Below are 25,875 nucleotides of genomic sequence, written 5' to 3'. Positions count from 1 at the left end.
CAAAAATAAGTTCTTTTATGAACAGAGAAATGTAAATTTGTAGCATTTAAACGTTTACAGTCAGAAATGCTTTCATTAAACAATTTAATTATTATTTTAAAAAGAAGGAATAGAAATACCTTAAATCTGTAAATAATGCTAAGATTTTCAAACAGTAAAATACCAAGCTTGATTGAATTAGATTGTGGAAATATTTTGATTGCTTACAAGGCTGAAAAGAACCATGCCAGGTAACTTTCAGTATGGCAAGTGAAAAATAAAGATTTCGAAAAATATTCCAAACTGTTTATTAAAATTCATAAACTAACTTTTGTCTGTAATTTTAGGATTACAGACAAATTGTACATACAGAAAAGTTGCACAAAGATTTTCCCTATTTCTCCCCCAACACACACATACACTTTCCTCTGTTATTAACACATCTTGCATTTGTGTGTTACATTTGTTAAATTGGTGAAGCAATATTGATACGTTATTATTAACTACAGTCCATAGCTTCCATTAAGCTTCATTCTTTGTGTTGTACATTCTGTAGGTTTTGACAAATATCTAATGGCATGTATCCACCGTTATAACGTCATGCAGAAGAGCACCACTACCCTAAACATACCCTGTACTCCACGTACTCATCTCTCCCTCCTTCCCCTGAACCTGTGGCAATCACTGATCTTTCACTGCTTCTATATATAGTTTTGCTTTTTCCAAATATCTTTTAGTTAGAGCCAGAAAGTATATAGCCTTTACAGACAGACTTTCACTTAGCAATATGTATTTAAATTTCCTTCATATCTATTGGTGACTCAATAATTCTTTTTATTGCTGCATAATATTCTATTGTAAGGATAAACCAGAGTTTGTTCATTCACCTGCTGATGCATTAATGGACATCTTGTTTCCAGGTATTGTCCAGATATGAATAAAGTGTGATTGCTGGATTGCATGGTAAATCTGCTTAGTTTTGTAAGAAACTGCCAAACTATCTTCCAAACTGGTCATAACGTTTTGCATTCCCACCAGGAAGGAATGAGAGTTCTTTTTGCTCCACATTCTCACTGACATTGGCTGTTTTCAGTGTTCTGAATTTTAGCCATCAACTAGGTGGGCAGTACTATCTAATTTTGTTTTATTTCTGAATTCCATAATGACATATGATGGTGAGCATCTTTTAATATGCTTACTTGCCAGCTGTATTTATTTATTTCTTTATTTTTCCTTTGGTAGGATGTCTGCTTAACTCTTTTGACCATTTAAAAATGGGTCCCTTACTTATGTGTTTCTGAGTTGCAAGACTTCTTTGTATATCTTGGATACTACTCCTTTATCAGATATATATTTTGTGAATATTTTCTCTCTGATTGTGACTCGGCTTTTCATTCTCTGGAGAGTGTCTTTTGCAGAGCAGAAGTCTTTAATTTTAATGAAGCCCTGCCTATCAATTATTTCTTTCATGGATTGTGCCTTTGGTGTTACATGTAAAAAATCACCAGCAAACCCAAGGTCATCTAGATGATCTTATTTGTTATCTTCTCCATGTTTTATAGTTTTGCATTTTATATTGAAGTTTATGGCGCATTTTTAGTTGATTTTTGTTAAGGATGTAAACTGTAATGATTTATTCTATTTTTTGCATGTGGATGGCTATTTGTTCCAGCATCATTTTTTGAAAAGATGATTATTTCTCCATTCTATTGCCTTTGCCTCTTTGTCAAAGATCAGTTGACTGTATTTGTGTGGATCTATTTCTGGGATCTCCATTGATTTGTTTATTGTCTATCTTATCTTTTTTTTTTTTTTTTTTTTTTTACTAATAATCACACTTTATTACTGTGACATTATAGTAAGCATTAAAGTCGGGTGGTACCAATGATATTTGTTCTCCTTCAGTGTTGTGTAGGCTTTTCTGGGTCTTCTTCTTCTCTATATAAGCTTTAGAATCAGTTTGTTGATATCCTCAAAATAACTTTATGTGATTTTAATATTTAATTTAAACTTTGTTTTGACCAAGCAAAAAAAAATGTATTATATATTAGATTATTTCTTAAATATTGTAGTCTACTATGGTAGTCTGGGGCCCATGTGGCCACCTTACAGCAATCATAGTGAAACACAGTCTCTTATCGTGGTGTAAACCATGGTATTATATTCATGGAACACTGTAGTCATTTCTTGTCCTGAAAGAGGAAATGATGGCCCTGGAAGAAATGGGATGGGGGTGGGGGGACGGCTATGAAAGCAGCAAGGGGCACAATTTAGGACCACAGAGTAGAAAGATTAGCATCTTTCAGTTAGAGAAGATTAAAGCTGCAAGAACATTTTCTGCTTTCTACATTACGTAGTCAATTTATTGAATAGCGTAATCCTGCTAAGTAGTAGTGACCAAGGGTAGAAGATATTTAATTACAGAAATCTACATTTAAGGGAGATAATAAAGGTCACGTTGGTGGTTTTGGCCTTGTCTCTGAATGTGGCAGGTGTAAAGTGCCCACAGTGCCCTCACACAGAATGTCTGAGATAGCCCTGTATACTGGAGGACCAACAAGACTCCTGTATAAGTACTCCCTGTATCAACCTATAGATGGATCTGCTGGGCACTTGTATGCAGAATCTTCATTTCTTTTGATGAGTTGATCTTTGCTCTTAATAATTTACATTTGAGTTTTTGTCAAATAGATCAGTTAAGGTAAACCTAATTAATCCTTTACCTTGTAAACAAATTCTGCTTCACAGGAGACTTCCGAAGACAGAGACATTGTTCCTGACTTGGTTTCCTTTATGTCACTCAGGGTCCCTGAGATGAATGTTAGAATCCATCAAAATTGACCATGTTTTTTTTTTTTAATTTGGTTCAAAAGGAAATACCCAGTTTGTCCTGAGTAATTTCTTTTTTCATCTCCAACCCACTTTCCTGCTTACTTTTGCCTTTTATTCATGCTGAAGAAATGGGCTTTTCTTCTTGCTACTACAGCTGCAGTTAGGTAAATGGTTTTTGTTTCAGTACTTAATATGGGAAGTAATTGGTGAAGGACTTTAGAGAGACAGTATGTATTGTTTAGAGGTATTTCCTGACTCCTCCCAGAAATCATATATGTGTGTGTGTATATATATCTACACAAAATGAAAAACTAAATTGTTATATATATATAGATAGATAGATAGATAGATTACAGATGGTGTTAAAATTTAAGTTCCAGTTCTCATATCTTGCCTTTTAAAAAGTCTCTTAATTAAATAGATAATGTGAGATCTATGTTTTAGATCTCTAGCCTAGAACATAATTATGTTCTAGATCTAAAACATAATTATGTTTTAGATCTCTAGCCTAGAACATAATTTCAAACACCTATAATTAAATTGTAAATAAAGTCCAATTTCTCTATTATCAATATAACATGAAACTATATATTATTCTCTAATTCTATGAAAACAGAAAAATATAATAAATATTTTTAAAGAGAAATTCAAACCTGTAGACTGTCTTATAGGCTTTGTATTTCTAATCTCCCACAGAGCCTGACATAGTTCCATTTAATGAGTATTTCTGTTGTTGATGTATATTCTTTTAAGTGAGAGTAACAATATTATTTTTTTAATTGACTGAGGAAAAGTAAATTGTGTTTGCATTTAAAAAAAAACCTTTCATATGATATTTTAAGAGTCTCCAAATAAGGATAACTGCATAAATAAACTAGTAATTTATTTGCTTAGTTCAAAAATATAAAAGCTAATACGTCAACTTATTCAATTAATGGTTTGCTGATGGTTGATAGACACAGTAAAGACAAATAATACAAAGAGTAAAACATCTGAGGATAGCACTGTCCAGAGGAAGATTCCTCAGTATAACGAAGGGAGGAAGGAACTGAAAATATATATATCTGTTAAATTATGTAATAAATGTATGCTTTATTGCTTCATTGGAAATATAATTGGCCATAGTAGAGATTTGCCATACACTTACTCTAGCTTTTCCAGCTGCTAATTAGAGGTGGAAATGCCATCTTATTTTTATGCATACTTCATATGATCCATATTTTTAAAGTATACTTTAAAAAGTACATTTTGTGATTCTGGCCAAAATAGAGACTATAATCTGTTATATTACTCATTTAGAGTTAGAAGGTCTGATCTCCCCATTGTTCCTGATAAGTACAAATGATTTTAATATTGGTAATCAAGAGACTGCTTTGTGACGCAATTTTATTCTCATCTTGTCTTCTTAAAAGTTGCCACTATCTGCCTCATGAGCAATTGTGAGTAAATGGTCAGAGGATTTATGCTTTTGCCTTGCTATTTTAAATACCGAGGTATGATAACAACCACTCTCTTAGTTTTCTTTTATTGTTAAGTTTTTAAAAATCAAGGAATGGTGTGTATACCTTCCTCTTCGGTTGAGAATGGTCCAGAGAATGTCACAGGAATACATAACATTGCAGAGGCAAATTTCCATATGCTGCAGAATTAAATTCTAGACAAATACACCCATTTCATATGAAGAGATAAAGGAAACTAGTTTGGTTATATTCGGATAGTCAAAGAAACTTGTGGAACTTATAACGATAAAATAATAATATAACTGCAATCATCATAAAAGCTATGGAGAATTGCATGCTTAAGTTGTAAGTGTGCAGTTTGTCCCTACTTCTAGCAGATTTGCATATTAAAAACTGTACATTCTTTGCTAGCCAATATGTGCTAGCAAATACTGACACTACAGACACATAAAATTGGTCAATCCCCACATTAGATTTATATGGAATTTCACAGATGAGGACACTACAACTTAAGTAATACATGCTCAAAATCAAGTAGGCTGTGGGGTTTCAATATCAGTCTACCTAATTCTAATGTCTGGACTCTTTCTATTATATCATGCCACTTTCCAAAAATTCCAGGAACTATGTACAAGGTAAACTACATAGTTGATTAATCCAATAGTTAATTTTTGCAGATTGTGTATTATTCATGTCTCTATATTGTCTTACCTTTAATATTCTTCAAAAAATTAAGTATACATATGTGAATATGAATTTTTTTAAAAATTTATTCATATACGTATACTTAGTTTTTAAAATTTAACATTTTAGCATTTAACATTTATTTTATGTACATAATATATAATAGCTAAATAGCATTTAATATATGTGAAAGAATAGCTGCTGAAATGCTTAGCACTCAATTTCATTTTTTTTTTTTAGCAGTTCCAGTAATTTTTGTGCTGCCTATTCGAGAGAAAGATAAAAATTAGATTTGGTTATTGCTTATGTATTTTCTGCTAACCGTCCACTCTTACCCTAGGTAGCTTAGAGCCAACTCTAATGGTGTGACTTTCATTGCTTAAGGGGATGGAAATAAAAGCAGAACTTGGAAAATATGGGAAGCTGACTAAATCAACCTGCCACACGATGAGGTTGAGAGCATGGTGGCATTGGCCTGCTACCACCACTTAGTGAGAACTTCTAAAAACATTTGCAGTGGACATTGGTGTGTGAAAAACTTCTCATTCAACATACTAGTAAAGATAATCAAAATAAAATACAGCATTGAAAATTATAGGAAAGTTCTATTTCTGTTTACTCATTAGGAAATAAGGAACCCACATTTTTGTTTTAAAGTAAGCACGCTGCATTCAGTCCCCATCTATTCATCTTATCTACTTAAAGTTTAAATTATGCCATTATAGGTGCCATGTAAATTTGGGGAAAAATGGATACTTTTAAGATGTGTAATCAAATCTAGAAAATGAGGTGTCTAGCTTTCTATTGCTAGAATTATAATACTCTCTCTGTCCTTTCTCGATGCTTCCATTACTAAGCAAGTACTAATTAGAGAAGAGCAATGGAAAAGAAAATAATTAGACGTGAGATGAAGATATCTTTTACAGGAATGTGACTGTTAGATTTTAACCTGCTTCACTATTTATCTGTTAATCCATGCCCTTCAGGGTGATGCCATTGCTTTCCCCTGAGTGATTGTTACTGAAAGTCTCTCTCCTCCCATATTAGAGTTTTTCATAATCAAGATGGCCCCAGGATGCGCAGTCACACTGACCTGACCAGATTTTTTGCCACGTAGATTATCTTTTCTAAAACAGCGCTTTGGATTAAGAGACGCTGAACTCAACAGTCTTCAGCAGTCTATAAAAGATAAATGGTTCAGAAAGTTTGACACACAGCCTTTTCTGTTGTATGCTTAAGTAAAGGCAGTCCTGCGGTTTGACTCACCTTGTTCTTTGTGACAACCTGCCGTAATCTGCCTTTTCTGCTTCATAGACTACGTGAAGCACAGTGATAAAAAGTAGTTCTGGTTCTCAGGGCCCCCTGGTGGGATGACCTGGGTGCAGAGATCTTCCAGATATTGCCAACCATAGGAATTCACTGGGAGTGCTTCAGGGAGACCTACGGTGCTGCTGTTTGTGAAGTCCATGTCTCAAATCCTTTTGAACCCCGCTGTCAATATTACTGAGCTCTGTGTCCCCTGCTCAGTCTGTCTTTCATTTGTATCTGACCCGGTAGGGTATGTTAGAATAAGTAGCACTCTGGTGTCCGGAGGGGGTGGCTCAAAAGCTTGCTGGTGTCTACCTTTGGCATTTAATGTTAAGTACACTTATCTACTCAAAGGTGGTAGGAAAACTACCTTGTTTTTATACCACAGGAAAAAAACTCTAGCAGAAAAGTTACATATATTTTAATAAACACACACCCATACACACACACACACAAACACACACAAAAACCTCAGGGTATATACATTTTGACTGGATTCTTTCATCCATTACAATCATTTTGAGATTCATCTATGTTACAGTGTATTTTGCAAGTGCCTTCCTTTTTATTGCTGAATATTATTTCATTGCATAAATATATACTACAGTTTGTTTATCTGTTCTGACATTTGGGTTTAAATAGGTTTTGACGAGTACATGTAAAGCTGGACATTTGTATACAGTTCTTTGTGTAGTCATGTGCTTTTTTTTGCCTCTTGTGCAAATACTTCCCTGCGAAATGTCCTGGTCCCAAAGAAAATGGCAATCTCTTCTCCAAAGTAGTTGTACCATTTTCCATTTAGACCAGAAACATAGATGAATTCTAGTTGTTTTATATTCTTGACAACACTTGGTTTGGTCTACCTTTTAATTAAAAGGTATTCAATTTGACAGGTGTGTAGTAGTATCTCATTGTGGTCTTAATTTGCATTTTCCTAATAGAAAGTAATGCTGGGCATCTTCTCAGGTACTTATTTGCCATCTATATGTCTTCTTTGCTGCAGTGTCCATTCAAATCTTTTGCCCATTTTTTTATTGGGTTGTTTTCTTCATTTTCCACTTTTTATTGGGTTGTTTTATTTTTTATTTTTATTTTTGGAAACGTAGACTCGCTCTGTGGCCCAGGCCGGAGTACAGTGGCAGGATCATGGATCACTGCAGACTCAACCTCCTTAGGCTCAAGTGATCCTCCCATCTCAGCCTCCTGAAGAGATGGGACTACAGGCACATGCCACCTTGCTTGGATTTTTATTATTTTTTTATTTTTTATAGAGTCAGGGTCTCGCTCTGTTGCCCAGGATGGTGAGTTGTTTTCTTACCATTGAGTTCTGCATGTGCTACATTACAGACATAAGTCCTCTTTATCAGATATATAACTTGCAAATGCTTTATCCAAGTTCGTGACTTGTCTTTTCTATATTTTAATAGTATATTTCACAAGCAGAAAGTCTTAAATTTAACACATTTAATTTGTAACTTTGCTCTTTTTTTTGGTCATGCTTTGGGGATCTTAGCTAAAAAGTGTTTTCTTAACCCAAGGTCATAAAGGAATTATTTTGTTTTCTTCTAGAAGTTATATAGTTTTAGGTTTTAAATTTAAGACTATGATCAATTGTGTGTTAATTTTGTATATGATGTAAAGCAGAAATCAAAGTTCATTTTTTGCATATCAATCTCTAATTGCTACAGTATGGTATTTTGAAAAGACTATTCATTCTGCACTGAATAGCCTCTGCTCCTTTATCAAGATCAGTTGTCAACATGTTTGTGTCTGTTTCTGGAGTCTTCTGTTCTATTGATCTATTTGTCTGTATCTGTACCAATAACGTACTCTTTTTTACGGTAGCTTGATTAGTTCTAAAAATTTAGTAGTGTTCTCTAACTTTGTTTTAGATATTCCAGGTCATTTGTGTTACTCTATAAAATTTAGAATCACTTTGTCAGTTTCTAAAATAAATAAATAAAGCCTGTTGTGATTTTGATTAGGATTGCAATGAATCTATAGATGAATTTGGAGAGTATTGATATTTTGACAACACTGAGTCTTCTAACCTGTAACATAACATACTTCATTTACTTGAGGCTACTTTATTTCCTCTCAGTGGTGTTTTGTTTTGGGTTTTCAATGTCTCTTCTGTTTCTTTCTGTTGTTTGGTCAGATGTTTTCCTGTTTTATATTTTTTTAAATGATGTGGTAAATGGTAGTGTTAACGTTTTAATTTCCAACAGTTTGTTGCTAGTATGTAGAAATACAATTAATTTTGTATATTGAGCTTATTCTCTTCCAACTTGGCTAAACTCACTTAGTACTTCTGGTAGGAGTTCCCATAGGATTTTCACATAGAAACTATGCCATCTTTGAAGGAATACAGTTTTTCTTCTTCTTTCCCAGCCTCGATGTCTTTTGTTTATCTGGAGTTCTTAATTTGGAATTATTGCATTGACTAAAACCTCCAGTACAATGTTGAATAGAACTGATAAGAGCAGACATCCTCACTGTGTTCCTCCTTTTAAGGGGAAAGCCTTCAGTCTTTTACCGTCAACTATAAAGTTAGCTGTAGGTCCTCCATAGATTCTCTTTATCAGGGCAAGGAAGTTTACTTCTCTTCCCGTTTTGCATCACCTCTCATTATTGGAATGTACTCTACTTGATCATAATGTACTTTTTAAAATACAGTGTTGAATTTCATTTGTGAAAAATGTTAATTTTTTATCTGTTTCTGAGGAATGTAATATTTTATCTGGTTTTGGTATTATGGCAGTGGTGGCTTCATTGAGTTGGAAAGTAGTCATTCATTTTTTGTTTGTTTATTTGTTTGTTTGAGACAGAATTTCACTCTCTTGCCCAGGTTGGAGTGCAGTGGCGCGATCTCAGCTCACTGCAACCTCTGCTTCCTGGGTTCCAGCGATTCTCCTGCCTCTGCCCCCTCATGTAGCTGGGATTTCAGGCGCATGCCAACACGCCTGGCTAATTTTTGTATTTTTAGTAGAGATGGTTTCACCATATTGGCCAGGCTGGTCTTGAACTCCTGACCTCAAGTGATCCACCCACCTCAGCCTCACAAAGTGCTAGGATTACAGGCGTGAGCCACCGTGCCAGGCCAGTCATTCCTTTTTAATTTTCTGCTAAAGTTTGTGTAGATTCATGTAATTTTTACCCTAAATATTTGCTAGAATTCACTGAAAGGTTTTTACAAAATCAGTCTCTTCAACAAATTCTATTCAGGTTATTATCTCTTTTTTATTGACTGACTATGTCTTTCAAAGAATTTGTCCATTTCATCCAAGTAGTCAAATTTACTGGTATAAAATTGTCCATAATCTGTCTTTATATTTTTAATATCTGCACAATCTGTAGTGATGTAACCTTTGCCTTTGCTGATGTTATAATTTATGTCTTCTCTCTCTGCCTACATGTTTATCTATTGTACTATCTCAACTAATTTGCTGTTGATTTTTAGAATTTCTGTCTCTCTTTCTCTCTCTCTTTTTCTTTTTTGCTTTTTACTTCAGTATTGGGTAAATTACAGTCTGTAGACCAAATTTAGCTCTGTTTTTGTAAGGCCTTGCATCTAAGAATGATTTTTACTTTTTTAAAGGGTTGTAAAAAGAAATAATAAGAATATGCAACAAAACCATAGGAGACTTACAAAGATGACAATATTTATTGTCTGACACTTTACAGAAAAAATTTGTCCATCCCTGTTTTATATAATTGATTTTGACTCTGATTTACTTTCTTTGGATTTAATTTGTTCTTCTTTATTTAGTTTTATATTATAGAAAATGTCATTGATTTGAGATCTTCTTTTCTAATATAGGTATTTATTGCATTCCTCGTCAGTTTCTGTTGACCACAATATCTGGATATCAGATATTGTGACTTATGCTTTGTGGATTATTAGATATGTTTTTTTCTCTTCTACAGATATTTTTGGTCGTTGTTCTGGGACCGAGTTAAGTTACTTGGAAATAGTTTTATCCTTCCAGGTCACGTTGTTGGTTGTTAGGCAGAACTGGAATAAGGGTCAGTCTAGGACTTACTGTTGCCCACCAGAGGCCGGCCACTCTGTGTATTCTACTCAATGCTCTGTGAACCAGCAAGGTTTTCAGTTTCACTGGTGGGTATAAGAGGCACTGTTCCTTACCCTCGTGGGTCCCTGACACTGTTATCTCTAATCCTTTTGGGTAGGTTCTTTTTAGTTTTCTCACATGCATAAACTTGAACAAGTCTTTGCAGATCTCTGACACTCTGTCTCTGAGCACCTCTCACCAATATTTTGTCCTGTGAAATTTGGAGGCCATCGTCTCCCTCAACTCTCAGCTTTATCTCCTCACTTTAGCCTTAGGCCCCAGCCTGGAAACGCTCTCAAGGCAGTAAGTTGGAGTAATGTTAAGACTCACCTTATTTGTTTCTGTCTCTTAGGGATTGTTAGTTTTCAATGCTTGATAGCCAGTATCTTCAAAACCATTGTTTCAAGTAAAATAATTACCAAAAAAATATGAATGAGCTTGAAGCTCTTTTTAAAAGAAGAAATAGATCATTTCAGCAATGTAATGGGAGATTTCTAAATCTATTTGTCTCAGTGAAATAAGAGGGAGCCATAGATAAAATTTAAGCAATAAAATTAACAAATGCTATATAAAAATATATATATACATAAGTACTATATCTGACACAAATTTATAAATGTGATATTCATCACAAATAATACATTCTCTTTATTCAAACACACATATTTAAGTCATAAAGCAAGAATCATCAAAGCCAAAGATTAATTTCTTATACCCAGTATTCTTTGAATACAATGAAATGAAGTTAGAAAACTTAACTAGGTCAACCCATATTGAAAATTAAGAAAACCTCTTAAGTAACTAATGGATCAAAGAAGAAATCATAAAGGAAATTAGATGGTATTATTAATGTAGAAAAATACAAAATAAAAAAAAAATTCTATATACTAAAAATTGATCCTTTTACATGTGTGGCTATAATGGCTCTTCAAGGAAAATTGGTGAGCTTTATTTTTTTTTCATCAGAAAGGAACAGAGGCTGAAAATTAGTGAACTAAGCATCCAACATAAGATGTCAGAAAAAAGACAACAGAAAGAACCTAAAGAAAATGGATAAATAAAATAATAAAAATAATTCCAGACATCAACAAAGAAAAAAATAAAATAAATATAATAAATATAATAGTTTGCTCTTTAAAAAGCAAAGAAAATAGATACACATCTCACAAGACTGATCAAGAAAAAAATACTAAAGACACAAATAATATTAGGAATAAAAAAGTACACTTAACAAATATAAATCTGAAATTAAAATGTTGTTAAAGGATGATATGACTACAAATACTAGGAAAGCAAATTTAGAAATAGATATAGACACATATATAGATATATGTATATATCCATAGATATATATCTCACAACCCTCTAGGATTTATTCCAGATATACCTGTCTGGAGTAACATGAAATAGTCATGTTATGTAAACATAAATAATCAATAATGTAATTTACCATATTGACAGATTAAAACAATTACATGATCTCAGTAGATGCTGAAAAAGTATTTTAAAAAATTTCTCATGCAGTCATGGTTAAAAACGTATCAAACTAGAAATAGAGGACTTTTTTTTTCTTGTTTTTGGGGGTGGGGGTATGGGGGCAAGGTCTCACTCTGTCACCCAGGCTAGAGTACAGTGGCACAATTGCAGCACACTGCAGCCTCGGCCTCCTGGGCTCCTGTGATCTTCCCACCATAGCCTCCCAGGGAGCTGGGACTACAGGCATGCACCATCACACCTGGCTAGCTTTTTTTTTTTTTTTTTGTAGAGACAGATTTTTCACTATGTTGCCCAGGCTGGTCTCGAACTCCTGGGCACAAGCAATTCATCCACCTTTGCCTCCCAAAGTGCTGAGATTACAGGTGTGAGCCACTGAACCCAGCCAAATTTTCATTAATCTAATAGAAAAAGATCTATTTAAAAACTGTGGAAAATACGGCAAAAATGCTCAAAGGTTATTTTTAAGATTGGGAAAAAACACGATTATATTCATTATGACCAGTCCACTGAAAGGAATATGGCTAGTAAAAGAACAAAAGTTATTGTCTTTGTTTTATGTTGTTACAACAGAATACCACAGCCTGGGTAATTTACAAAGAAAAGAGTTCATTTGGCTCATAGTTCTGAAGGCTGGAATGTCCTAGAACGTGGCAATGGTATCTGGTCAGGACCTTTCTCCTGTGTCATAACATGGCAGAGGGCAAGAGCATGCCAGCTAAGATCTCCTTTCTCTTCTTATAAAGCCACCAGTCTCATTATGAGGGCCCCACTCTGATGGCCTTATCTAATCTTAATTACCTCCCAAAGGCCCCACCTCCAAATACCATCAACATACGAATTTGGGGATTAAGTTTCCAACATATGAAATTTGAGGGACACATTCAAAACATAGCAAGTTTCAAGGTTGGAAAGTAAGAACCTATCATTATTCATAGCTAATGTGACTACAAAGCTCAAAAGAATATAACGATAAGTCATATAAATTCATAAGAGAATGTATAACTTTGCTGAATAAAAATTCAGCATACTGAAATCAATTGCATTTCTGTATGCTAACAACAGGCAGAAGATGTGATTTTTCTAAGCTACCATTTAAAATTGCGTGCATCAAAAATATGCTGAACCTTGGAATAATCTAACAAAAGATTTATACGGCCTTTGTGAATAACTTGACAAAACTATTGCTAGAGGTTAAGTAAAGCCTCAGTAAATGGAAAGATATTCCTTGAATTACGAACAATCAGTTCTTTTGTTAATCATTGCACAATGTATTCAGTCACCACAATATGCAATCAGCAGGTTGACTCATTATCTTTACTTGAAAAGGATGCATACTTGTTGCTATTATCAGTTTGTTTCCCTGCACTCAAGAGTACATGATGGGTTTCTTAATTTATTTTGCTTCAAGCCTACCCTTGGGCAGCTTTCTGTGTGTAGCCAACATCTGCCCTGATTCTTAAAATGACCATTTTCAATGCTAGACAGAAAGTGCCGTGATTTATCTATGTTTTCTCAGTAGTGAACAGGGAAAAGAACAGCTGATATGTGAGGAGCAATTGTGTTGTATTCGGAGTTATTCCAGGCGTGGTCTTCACCTCTTCACATCTGGAATGGGAGGCCCTGGGGCCTGGGGATGAACTCAGGGGAGTAAGAGAGCACAGAAAGAGGTTTCTGAACAGCTTCCTTGGTTGTTTGTGGAGCTGCGGTCTTGTCCTAGGAAAATTCTTTACCTTTTGGTGCACACTTTGTTTCTGTATAGTGATTATACAGTATACAGGACTGATTACCATGGAAGCATTTTGTTAAAGCACAGTGAAATCCTTACCTCTTCTGCCTATCACGTTTGAGCAACTGCTTCAACCCAAACCAAAAGAAACTCACTTCTTTCCTGCTTGTGTGTGAACTCACTGTATTCAGGTTCCCTGGGGCACATCCATTTTCAAACCTGCAGCCCAGAAAGGAATGGAGCCTGGATAGAAAGCCAGTGACAGGTACTATCTGTCAAGTCCACATTTTCAGAGCCACTGTTAGTAGTAGTGGGGCTGCTTCAAGGACAGGGCGAAATATATCTGAGTATCTCGGTGGGCAGGGGGCATCATAAAGACGCCATTTTTCTCTCAACCTTCAGAATGGACAAGGGCCAGGCCAGACCTCCCTGACCCAGCTGTGAGGGCAGTGATGGGGGTGACCTTGGTTTGGCTCAGTTGCTCTAGTTTCCAGCACGTAACACCCCTTGGCATCATTTCAGCTAATAACTAATATCATATGCTGCTATATGATTCATAGAATCACATCTGTTAAAAGTAAATTTACATTAGGAATTAAAATAATGCCTCCAAATCACCACAGTGTGATAGTTTGCTAAGTGAAAATTGACTTATAAAAGGAAGGTAAAACAGGGAATCTCTGATTGCAGAGTCTCTGTAGACGATTTGAGATTGCACATTGAAGACCATATGTTTCTATGCGAATGTGACATGTATCTAATATTGGGAGCATTTCCAGAAAATGCTGTGCAATATGCTCTTCAAAAAAACCAAGTCTTAACTTGGTATTAGACTGAGCCACGTTTATACACTGCAGTTTGTGGATTGTATGCACATGGGAATGGCACCTCAAAACAAACTTTCCTTTTAGACTGTTAACTCCATTTGTGAGCCAACAGCAGATGGCTGAACTGGCACAGAAATTCTTTTCCGCATAGCTCTGTCATCACTGTGGTAAAGGTGCCAGAGAGGGAGTGACCACAGACCACGTTTCTTAGGGTTTTCTAATATATTAAATAACTTTCCTTTTTTTCTATTGCTCATGGGTGAAATCTCTACAAAAGTATTTCATAAGTAACGTTTTTGTATATGTTGGTTTTAGCAGAAGCTTTCTTATCTTGCAACATTAGAAATCATGTAGGTTTCCTAAAATTTTAACTGTTTAAATTTTGCATATCTTGCATTATTATTTTACTTCTATAATCCCTGTCTTCTACACTTGTGAGCATGCTTGCACACATACACATACACACACACACCCCTTCCATGAAAATGAATGTACAGAAACAACTTGTGCCTTATACTTACTAAATGCATATTCAGAAAGTTAAATGTTGTTTGATCCTATGTAAGTACACTTAAAAAAACCCCATCTAGTCTCAGATATCCAATATACTTCACCTGATCCACCACTAGTGCCACCATGTAGTCTACCATTATACTTCCTACTCTTTTCTTATTACTGTTTCTGGGAAACCAGGATAGCAATGCAACTTGCTGTTCCTAGGGGAGGGTAAGAGCTATGGCTACTGCTGTAGTAGCAAACAACAACCACACGGGATGGCTAAGGCTTTATTCCACAGACCCAGTCATGGCTTCTGCAAAGCCAGAAAGGGGTGGAGAATGTGAGGTGCGTCTAGAACCTAGCCTTAATATAAAGGTATTATCATTTTAAAAATATTAACAAATAATCCCTTGATCCCAAGGTTAACAGTCTTATACCTGTGTTATTTAAACTTCTCATTTATTGCATCTTTTTTCAAGTTGATGTCAGGAATAAAGCATACTAATCAGGAAGACAAAAATGTAATAAGCAGATATTTCTTCTGATGAGAAATATTTATTTAGCATTGCAGACAGTATATAACAGGTTTTCCTATTGTTTTTCTAAAACAAACTCGACTTCTACTTGTCAACATTAAGCTCTTCCTAATGGTTATTTACATCAATCCTTGGCTTTCATGGATACTTTTTTTTAAAGTGCCACAAGAGAGAAACCTAGGAATAAGATTTTATGAAAGGAGCAACCTGGACTCTTTTTTCCTACCATCATATTTTGTGTTTGCTTGGAAAATAAAACTAAGCAAAGATTTCTGTAATCAGTAGATAAGTATATCACGTTAGGGATTAGAAGCCAAAGGTAATCATTAATAATATTTTTTAAAATCATCACCATGATTGGGCTTGACAAGGAGGAAAATCACTCTAGTTTCTATGTCTGTGTCATGCGGCAAATGACAACACAAGAGCTTAGAGAAGCCGTGCCTTAAATCTGCCTTAGAGTCACTGAGGAGTAAGTAAATGATTCTTCCCTCCCTAGCACACTGCATGGTGCATAGTAGACACTTAATTATTTGTCGTGTCAATTAATCAATGAGTCAAAATCCCAGGTCCACCACTTACTTACTATGTAAACTTTGGCAAGTGACCTGACTTCTTAATGATTAGTCCTTTTCACCCTATAATATTTATCATAATAGCACCTCATTAAGTTATTAAGAAGGTGATATGAGATAATATATGTAAACTACTTCACATCGTGCCTGGTGCTAATTCACAGATCAATAGCTTATTCAGGGTCTTATTAAACACCAACGTTGTTTTGTTTTGTTTTGAAAGTATTATCTGCACTTCTCACTTACTCGTGGAAAAACTATATTGCAATCATGTAGAGTGAAAGTTGAAGGGAAACGTTGGCCATAATCAGATGTGCTTAAATATATGACAGAAACTGAGTTCAGCATCACTTGCATGATTTGAAATATTCTTGCCTCTACTTTTGCCACTTTCTACCAAATAGGTTGACACAGAACTAAAGAACAAGGCCAAGTTAGTTATTCACAAAGAGGATTTAGCAATAATTCAAACTTAAATATGTATACCGATGGAAGAGCCATGCAAGAGTCACTATACCAATTAGTGAGGTTTCAAAAAAAACTATTTCATTAAAAAGCAAACCCTCTACAATGTTAATTTAATGAATACCTAGATTTAGAAGAACATTTGACTTTGAATGGCCGAAGTGACACCAGGAGTTTTTTTTTTTTTAATACATTAGGTTGTGGTATACATGTACAGAACAGGCAGGTTTGTTACATAGGTATACACATGCCATGGTGGTTTCCTGCACCCATCAATCCATCATCTACATTAGGTATTTCTCCTAATGCTATCCACTCCCATCCCCCCACCCCCTGACAGGCCCCAGTGTGTGTTGGTCCCCTCCCTGTATCCATGTGTTCTCATTTTTCAACTCCCACTTATGAGTGGGAACATGCAGTGTTTGGTTTTCTGTGCCTGTGTTAGTTTGCTGAGAATGATGGTTTCCACCTTCATCCATGTCCCTGCAAAGGACATGAACTCATCCTTTTTTATAGCTGCATAGTATTCCACAGTGTATATGTGCCACATTTTCTTAATCCAGTCTATCATTGATGGCCATTTGGGTTTGTTCCAAGTCTTTGCTATTGTGAACAGTGCCACAATAAACATACATGTGCATGTGTCTTTATAGTAGAATGATTTATAATCCTTTGGGTATATACCCAGTAATGGGATTGCTGGGTCAAATGGTATTTCTGATTCTGGATCCTTGAGGAATCACCAAACTGTCTTCCACAATGGTTGAACTAATTTACACTCCCACCAATAGTGTAAAAGTGTTTCTATTTCTCCACATCCTCTGCAGCATCTGTTGTTTCCTGACTTTTTAATGATCCCCATTCTAACTGGCATGAGATGGTATCTCACTGTGGTTTTGATTTGCATTTCTCTAATGACCAGTGATGATGAGCTTTTTTTCATATGTTTCTTGGCCGCATAAATGTCTTGAGAAGTGTCTGTTCATATCCTTTGCCCACTTTTTGATGTTTTTTTTTCCCTTGTAAATTTGTTTAAGTTCCCTGTAGATTCTGAATATTAGCCCTTGTCAGATAGATAGATTGCAAAAATTTTCTCCCATTCTTTAGGTTGCCTGTTGACTCTGAGGATAGTTTCTTTTGCTGAGCAAAGCTCTTTAGTTTAATTAGATCCCATTTGTCAAGTTTGGCTTTTGTTGCCATTTCTTTTGGTGTTTTAGTCATGACGTCTTTGCCGATGCTTATGTCCTGAAAGGTATTGCCTAGGTTTTCTTCTGGGGTTTTTATGATTTTAGGTCTTAACGTTTAGGTCTTGAGTTAATTTTTGTATAAGATGTAAGGAAAGGGTCCAGTTTCAGTTTTCTGCATATGGCTAGCCAGTTTTCCCAACACCGTTTATTAAATAGGGAATCCTTTCCCCATTTCTTGTTTTTGTCAGGTTTGTCAAGGATCAGATGTTTGTAGATGCGTGGTGTTATTTCTGAGTCCTCTGTTCTGTTCCATTGGTCTATATATCTGTTTTGGTACCAGTTCCATGCTGTTTTGACACCAGGAGATTTTTTACAAGTGATTTTGTACCACAGAACTACACAGTTAATTTTCAGAAGCAATACTCTATTAGATATCTGCCAGTTTTCTACAGGGAAATGTCTAGACATTGGTATTCAGGAAGAATTTCATTATGGTTTGACTATATATTTTTTATTCACAAACCTTTAAGAAGTTCACTTTTTTCATCCAATTTTCAGAACAATGAATTAAACTTTAGAATAAGGTTGGATAAATACTTATCAAGGCAGAATCCTATTCAAGTGTTATATCCAATTTACTTGAAATAGAGAAACTGAGTAATTGGGACAAAATGCATAGAATTAGAGAGCTTTTCTGATTTTCTTGGTTCTCACGAAATAAAATTGCAAAAATCAGAGACTACTTTTTTTTTTTTTAATTTATTTTTTTATTGATAATTCTTGGGTGTTTCTCACAGAGGGGGATTTGGCAGGGTCATGGGACAATAGTGGAGGGAAGGTCAGCAGATAAACAAGTGAACAAAGGTCTCTGGTTTTCCTAGGCAGAGGACCCTGCGGCCTTCCGCAGTGTTTGTGTCCCTGATTACTTGAGATTAGGGATTGGTGATGACTCTTAACGAGCATGCTGCCTTCAAGCATCTGTTTAACAAAGCACATCTTGCACCGCCCTTAATCCATTCAACCCTGAGTGGACACAGCACATGTTTCAGAGAGCACAGGGTTGGGGGTAAGGTCACAGATCAACAGGATCCCAAGGCAGAAGAATTTTTCTTAGTGCAGAACAAAATGAAAAGTCTCCCATGTCTACTTCTTTCTACACAGACACGGCAACCATCCGATTTCTCAATCTTTTCCCACCCTTCCCCCCTTTCTATTCCACAAAGCCACCATTGTCATCATGGCCCATTCTCAATGAGCTGTTGGGTACACCTCCCAGACGGGGTGGTGGCCAGGCAGAGGGGCTCCTCACTTCCCAGTAGGGGCGGCCGGGCAGAGGCGCCCCTCACCTCCCGGACGGGGCGGCTGGCCGGGCGGGGGGCTGACCCCCCCACCTCCCTCCCGGACGGGGCGGCTGGCCGGGCAGAGGGGCTCCTCACTTCCCAGTAGGGGCCGCCGGGCAGAGGCGCCCCTCACCTCCCGGACGGGGCGGCTGGCCGGGCGGGGGGCTGACCCCCCCACCTCCCTCCCGGACGGGGCGGCTGGCCGGGCGGGGGCTGACCCCCCCACCTCCCTCCCAGACGGCGCGGCTGGCCGGGCGGGGGGCTGACCCCCCCACCTCCCTCCCGGACGGGGCGGCTGGCCGGGCGGGGGGCTGACCCCCACCACCTCCCTCCCGGACGGGGTGGCTGCCGGGCGGAGACGCTCCTCACTTCCCAGATGGGGTGGCTGCCGGGCGGAGAGGCTCCTCACTTCTCAGACGGGGCGGCTGCCGGGCGGAGGGGCTCCTCACTTCTCAGACGGGGCGGCTGCCGGTCGGAGGGGCTCCTCACTTCTCAGACGGGGCGGCTGCCGGGCGGAGGGGCTCCTCACTTCTCAGACGGGGTGGTTGCCGGGCAGAGGGTCTCCTCACTTCTCAGACAGGGTGGCCGGGCAGAGACGCTCCTCACCTCCCAGACGGGGTCGCGGCCGGGCAGAGGCGCTCCTCACATCCCAGATGGGGCGGCGGGGCAGAGGCGCTCCCCACATCTCAGACGATGGGCGGCCGGGCAGAGACGCTCCTCACTTCCTAGATGTGATGGTGGCCGGGAAGAGGCGCTCCTCACTTCCTAGATGGGATGGCGGCCGGGCGGAGACGCTCCTCACTTTCCAGACTGGGCAGCCGGGCAGAGGGGCTCCTCACATCCCAGACAATGGGCGGCCAGGCAGAGACACTCCTCACTTCCCAGACAGGGTGGCGGCCGGGCAGAGGCTGCAATCTCGGCACTTTGGGAGGCCAAGGCAGGCGGCTGGGAGGTGTAGGTTGTAGTGAGCCGAGATCACGCCACTGCACTCCAGCCTGGGCACCATTGAGCACTGAGTGAAGGAGACTCCGTCTGCAATCCCGGCACCTCGGGAGGCCGAGGCTGGCGGATCACTCGCGGTTAGGGGCTGGAGACCGGCCCGGCCAACACAGCAAAACCCCGTCTCCACCAAAACCAGTCAGGCATGGCGGCGCGTGCCTGCAGTAGCAGGCACTCGGCAGGCTGAGGCAGGAGAATCAGGCAGGGAGGTTGCAGTGAGCCGAGATGGCAGCAGTACAGTCCAGCTTCGGCTCCGCATGAGAGGGAGACCGTGGAAAGAGAGGGAGACCGTAGGGAGAGGGAGAGGGAGAGGGAGAGAACACTCTTTTTCAGAGACTACTTCTTTTAGATTTACCTATTAGCCTTATCATCTCCTGCTGTGGTTATAATTGTACATTTGTCTCTCCTGGAGATGGTAAGAACCTTGAAGTCAGGAGCAAATGCTTCTTCTCCTTCTGTCTCCCGGGCCACTGTCCTAGTACAGAGTTATTTATCAAAGTTAAATCTCTACATTCTATGCATGTTCCAAACTTATCGGAAAGTTAATTTTTAGATTTATCCTCTTAAAACTTTAAAGATATTTAAAGATGCATTTATAATATGTTATAATGAAATATTGTGTATTATGTAACATTAATAATGTATTTTTATGGCAATATTTTGCTATTAGAAGTAGTTTGTTACTTGTAATACTCTCACATTTTCTTAAAATATCCTATAATCCCATTCCATTTAACATCAGTCTCTTCAGCGTACTTTTGTATTCATCTGTTTCATTTTTCCTGGTTTTCTTTCCATTCCTATGTCTCTTTCATAAATGACTGCCGAGTGATTAGCTTCTGTTATTAGACCCAGGTGTCCTCACAGCCCGTATGGGGCCAAGGAGGAATGATGATGGATCGAGACCTGCTGATCCTGCAGCTGCCAGCGAGACTGAGAGGCTCCACGGGAAATGCTGCATATTTTCCATGTTGACCAGGAGCTGCAGAGCCACCAGCCCTCTCTCTGTGTTCTCAAATCCCTCACACTTTACTTACAACTGATTAAGTCTGAAAATAACTTGGATTATCTATTACGTGCTAATGTAGTGACATTCATCACACATTTTTATAAACAAGTGCATTCATCTAAAGAATGGGTCCAAATGTGTTGAACTCTGAGAAAAGATGAGGCATCGTCTAGTTACCTATTCTGTTAAAGGTGAAACTTTTTAAATATTTATGCAAATATTAAAACAATTTCAAATACCTTGGTTATGTGAGGATGGGGGAGGTGAGATAACTTTTCTTAACTGTTATTTTGGGTTGTGTTTTATAATAGAAATATTTGGTTATTTGAAATCCTCTTGCTTAATTAGGCAGATTCATACTAAATGGTTCAACAGGTTGCATCTATAATCTTGTGGCTAAAAGTGGTTATTTTCAAGTCAATATTTGGGGTTCCTTTTTAGAGATGAGAGTTTACTAATTCAATATTTGTAGTCACAAGATACATAAGAGTCATGTTTAAACAGTACTGTGTGCTTTAGAAATAATCACTGAAATCACAAGTTGTTCTTCTAATTACACCTCTGACCGAGTCCTTAGCAGTCTCAACTGGACAGCCAGAAAATCCAGGGATATCCTTATCTGAGAGTAGATATGTTCTCCCCCAGTGATGAAAACAATTCAGTGCCTTCACAATGGCCAGAGCACTGCTTCTCACATTTTTGGGTCTCTTGGACTCACCAGTACCTTTGAAAGTGGCTGATTTGTTGAGCTGTCCTCTATGGTTAGGAATTTAGTATCCCTGAGATTAGGCCAACCACCTCAAGCCTTTTGTAGATGTAGTAAAGTCTAATGAACTTTATGGAAAGTATTCTGATGTGGAGATTAATTTGTCTTTGTGTTGTTGAGAATAAGTGTTGAGCTAGTTAGGCAACCTGCAGCACCTGCGTCCCGCTCACATGCAATCTCAAATCATCAATCGAAATCGTGTGACAGACAGTCTTGATGAGATGGCAGGCATCAATCATTTTCAGATTTTTGACACATACTTTTATTCCTTCCTTGTGCAGAGAATTAGCATTATGGTGTGAATCTCTGTCAGTTCAGTACTTGGCAGTTGGCACTGTCATGTGCCGCAGATGTGTGGCTTTAAGTTTTAAAATTGTAAAGTGTGGATACGGTGCTCTCCATTACCCAGACATTCCCCTGAGGCTTCCAGAGAGAGGAGGTATCGTTGTAGCTGTAACATAGACTGAAATTGGCATTGAGAGTGTGACATCTTTCTAGTGAAAAAGAAGAAGAGGTGAAGATAGAGTAATATGAACATTTTATACTTGTATACATTGTATACATTTTATACTTGTATACATATTCTGTTGAGTTTTATGAAAACACCTGATTAGATAAGTGGAAAAATGACAAACAGTCTTCAGAAAGTGTTATGGAAACCTCTCATACTCCTGTTTGCTGCTCTGGTATTTCACAGATGGAGCCCAACTATTCCATTGTCCTTGCTGCCCTTGCTTACCCTGTAGAGGTTCTTTAGCATCACGCATTCCAGTGTGAGATGGGCCGCACTGCTCAGAGAAAGCCAAGGTGTGTGGCAGAATCACTGTAATTACTTGAATCTAGTTGCCCTTAAGTGAGACCAATCCTCCCCAGTTTACCCAGGACGTTTCCTGTTTCAGCACTTAAAGTCTCAAGTCCCAGGGCCCCTCTCTTTGCTGGAAGAGTTGGCCACCCTCGCTTCACTCGGCATGGACTTACCAGTTGTGTAGCCCTCTACCTCTGAAGGAATGGCAGGCCTGGCCTTGAACTGTGTAGAAGGGTGAGGAGAAGAAGGCATTATCAAAATCACTGGTGAGCGATAAAATAGGAGAAATAAGAGCAGTTTGATGTAATTATTATATATTAAGTTTATTACATTCAAAAAGTCAACTTCTTTTAAAGAATTTAATCTCACTCTGAGTATGTTGTTGGCATAAACATATTGCTTTTTAAGAAAATGGTGGTGATTTAACAAAAGGTATATTTAGAAAAAATGAACTCTGGTATTGTTACAGGCACACCCTCAGAGATACTACAGGTTAGATTCCAGAAGACCACGGTAAAACAAATATAGCAAGAAAGTGCAACCCATGAGTGTTTTGGTTTCCCGCTGCATTTAAAAGTTATGTTTACACTGTAATGTAGTCTATTAATTATGCGATAGCATTATGTCTCAAAACCAACCTACAGGTCAGGTGCAGTGGCCCATGCCTGTAGTCCCAGCACTTTGGGAGGCCGAGGCAGGCAGATCACCTGAGGTCAGGAGTTCAAGACCACCCTGCCTAACCTAGCGAAACCCCATCTCTACTAAAAATACAACAATTAAAAAAAAAAAAGAAAAAGAAAAAAAGTAGCCAAACGTGGTGCCGTGTACCTATAATCACAGGTACTCGGGAGGCTGAGGCAGGAAAATCGCTTGAACCCAGGAGGCGGAGGTTACAGTGAGCTAAGATCAGGCCACTGCACTCCAGCCTGGAGGACAGAGCAAGACTCTTGTCTCAAAAACAAAAACAAAATCATCCATAAGAAACAACTCTTCATCCATTCAAGTAATGAGATTGCAGCAATTTGGTCACATCTTCAGGCTCCACTTCTAGTTCTTGTTCTCTTGTTATTTTTACCACATCTGCAGTGACTTCCTCCACTGAGGAGTAAGTCATTGAAAGATGGAATCCAAATCTTCTAATTCCTGTTCATATTGATATTTTGACCTCTTCCCATGAATCATGAATGTTGTTAGAGCACCTAGGATGAGGAATCCTTTCCAGAAGGTTTTCAAAGATCTTTGCCAAGCTCCATAAGAAGACTCAATATCTGGGACAGCTATAGCCTTATGAAATATACTTCTTAAATAATAAGACTTGCAAGTTAAAATTGCTCCTTAATCCATGGGATGCAGAATGGATGTTGAGTCAGTAGGCATAAAAACAAAATTAATCTCCTTGTGTATCTTTCGGGTGACCAGTTGTATTGTCAATAAGCAGTAATATTCTGAGCTGGAGTTCTCAACAGTGCACTTAAAATATTCGGTAAAACACACTGTAAACAGATGTGCTGGCATATAGGCTGTTTTTCCATTTATAGAGCATGGCCACAGAAATTTCAGCATGATGGGCCCTAGGATTTTAATGGAAATGAGCATTGGCTTTAAACCAGCTGCATTTGCCCCTAACAAGATAATCAGCCTGTCCTTGGAAGTTTTGAAGCCATGCATTGACTTTTCCTCTCTAGCTATGAAAGTCCCAGATGGCATCTTGCAATAAAAGGCTGTTTTCTCTACACTGAATATCTGTTGTTTGGTGTATCCAATCTTAGCTAGATGCTCTGGATAACTTGCTGCAGCTTCTACAGCAGCATTTGTTGCTTCACCTCGCATTTTTACATGATGGAGACAGTTTCTTTCCTTAATCCTCATGAACCAACCTCTGCTAGCTTCAACCTTGTCTTTTACAGCTTCCTGACCTCTCTCAGCCTTCGTAGAATTGAAGGGAGTTGGGGCCTTGCTTTAGATTAGGCTTTGGCTTTAGGGAATGTTGTGGCTGTTTCGATCTTGTATCCAGATAACTCAGACTTTCTCCATATCAGCAATATGGCTGTTTGCTTTCGTTTCGTTTGTGTGTTCACTGGAGTAGCACTTTTCATTGCCTTCATGAAGTTTTCTTAGCATTCACAACTTGACTAACTTGTTGGTACAGCCAACCTGGTGCAAAGCCTGTCTTGGCTTTCAACGTGCCTTCCTCACTGAGCTTTATCATTTCTAGCTTTGATTTAAAGTGAGAGACATGCAACTCTGCCTTTCGCTTGAACATTTAGATGCCGTCGTAGCATTATTAATTGGTCTAATACAGTATAGTTGCGTCTCAGGCTATAGGGAGGCACACCTGAGGAGAAAGACAGAGACAGTGTCTAACAGGCAGTTGGCGTATCAGTCGGAACACATGTAACATTTATAAGTTTGCTGTTTTATATAGGCATGGTTGGTGGTGCCCCAAAACTAGACGATATTTATGTCAGTGATCGTGGATCATACATCACAATAACAGATATAATGATAGTGGAAAAGTTTGAAATATTATATGAATTACCAAAATGTGATGCAGAGACATGAAGTGAGCACATGGCTGTTGGCAAAATGTCTCCTGTGGACTTGCTTGATGCACGGTCGCCATAAACCTTCAATTTGTTAAAAAATGCAGTATCTTCAAAGCACAACAACTTGAAGCACAATGACAAGAGGTGTGCCTGCATGTGCACTCTAGCCTGAGGGACAGTGAGACCCTGTTTCAAAAAAAAAAAAAAAAAGATTTTAATGTGGCATTTTATTTGCTTTATTTTTTATAAAAAGAGAGTAGCAGAGAAAGAGTAACTTGTCCCTTTTCACATCAAGAATATATGGGTCTCTTTCTCTAGTTAAAATTCAAAATAGGAAAAAGTATAGTAACAGGGCAAAATATTTCTTTAAACTATGGAAATAAAGTCCCCTTAATATTATCTCAAAATATCTGTTTGGAAGGTTAGTGAAGATTCTGCTACTGGTCTTTCAAATAGCAGCATGTAGAGCCCTGTGCAGGGTAAAATATTTGGAGAGCAAATTTTAGAAGGAAAAAATTTCATAGAAATAATAGTTGGAAGGAAAAAACCTCCCCTTGGCATAATGGCCTTCATGAAGCTGTGTGTGGGGCAGTGGAAGTGTTGGTGGTGGTGCTATTGGATGGAACTGTAGTAGGTGACAAGCAGGTGTGGGTTGGGGGCTGTCGTGGATGTTGGTGCTGTCTGGGCCCTGCCTGCCAGTGTCTCATGTGGAGGGACACCATTCACACAGTGCGATTCCAAGATTTGCTATTGGTTATTTATT

General features: G+C 38.2%; 1 protein-coding gene across 6 annotated transcripts in view, besides 2 other annotated features; it reads left to right on the top strand.

Moving 5' to 3' along the window:
- Positions 1-25,875, top strand: part of PRKN (parkin RBR E3 ubiquitin protein ligase) — a 1,380,350-nt gene that overhangs the window by 369,216 nt on the left and 985,259 nt on the right. The window lies entirely within an intron of this gene.
- Positions 18,891-19,438: an enhancer, noted in NCBI's record as "H3K27ac hESC enhancer chr6:162760145-162760692 (GRCh37/hg19 assembly coordinates)". NCBI's record gives its function as "activates a minimal SCP1, AML or CMV promoter by ChIP-STARR-seq in primed H9 embryonic stem cells {active_cell/tissue: H9 hESC(primed)}" and the evidence as "EXISTENCE:reporter gene assay evidence [ECO:0000049][PMID:30033119]".
- Positions 19,439-19,986: an enhancer, noted in NCBI's record as "H3K27ac-H3K4me1 hESC enhancer chr6:162759597-162760144 (GRCh37/hg19 assembly coordinates)". NCBI's record gives its function as "activates a minimal SCP1, AML or CMV promoter by ChIP-STARR-seq in primed H9 embryonic stem cells {active_cell/tissue: H9 hESC(primed)}" and the evidence as "EXISTENCE:reporter gene assay evidence [ECO:0000049][PMID:30033119]".

This window comes from Homo sapiens, chromosome 6 (assembly GCF_000001405.40).
Source record: "Homo sapiens chromosome 6, GRCh38.p14 Primary Assembly".
NCBI lineage: Eukaryota > Metazoa > Chordata > Mammalia > Primates > Hominidae > Homo > Homo sapiens.
Note: the sequence above shows the minus strand (reverse complement) of the source record. Positions and strands in the feature narration are given on the sequence as shown.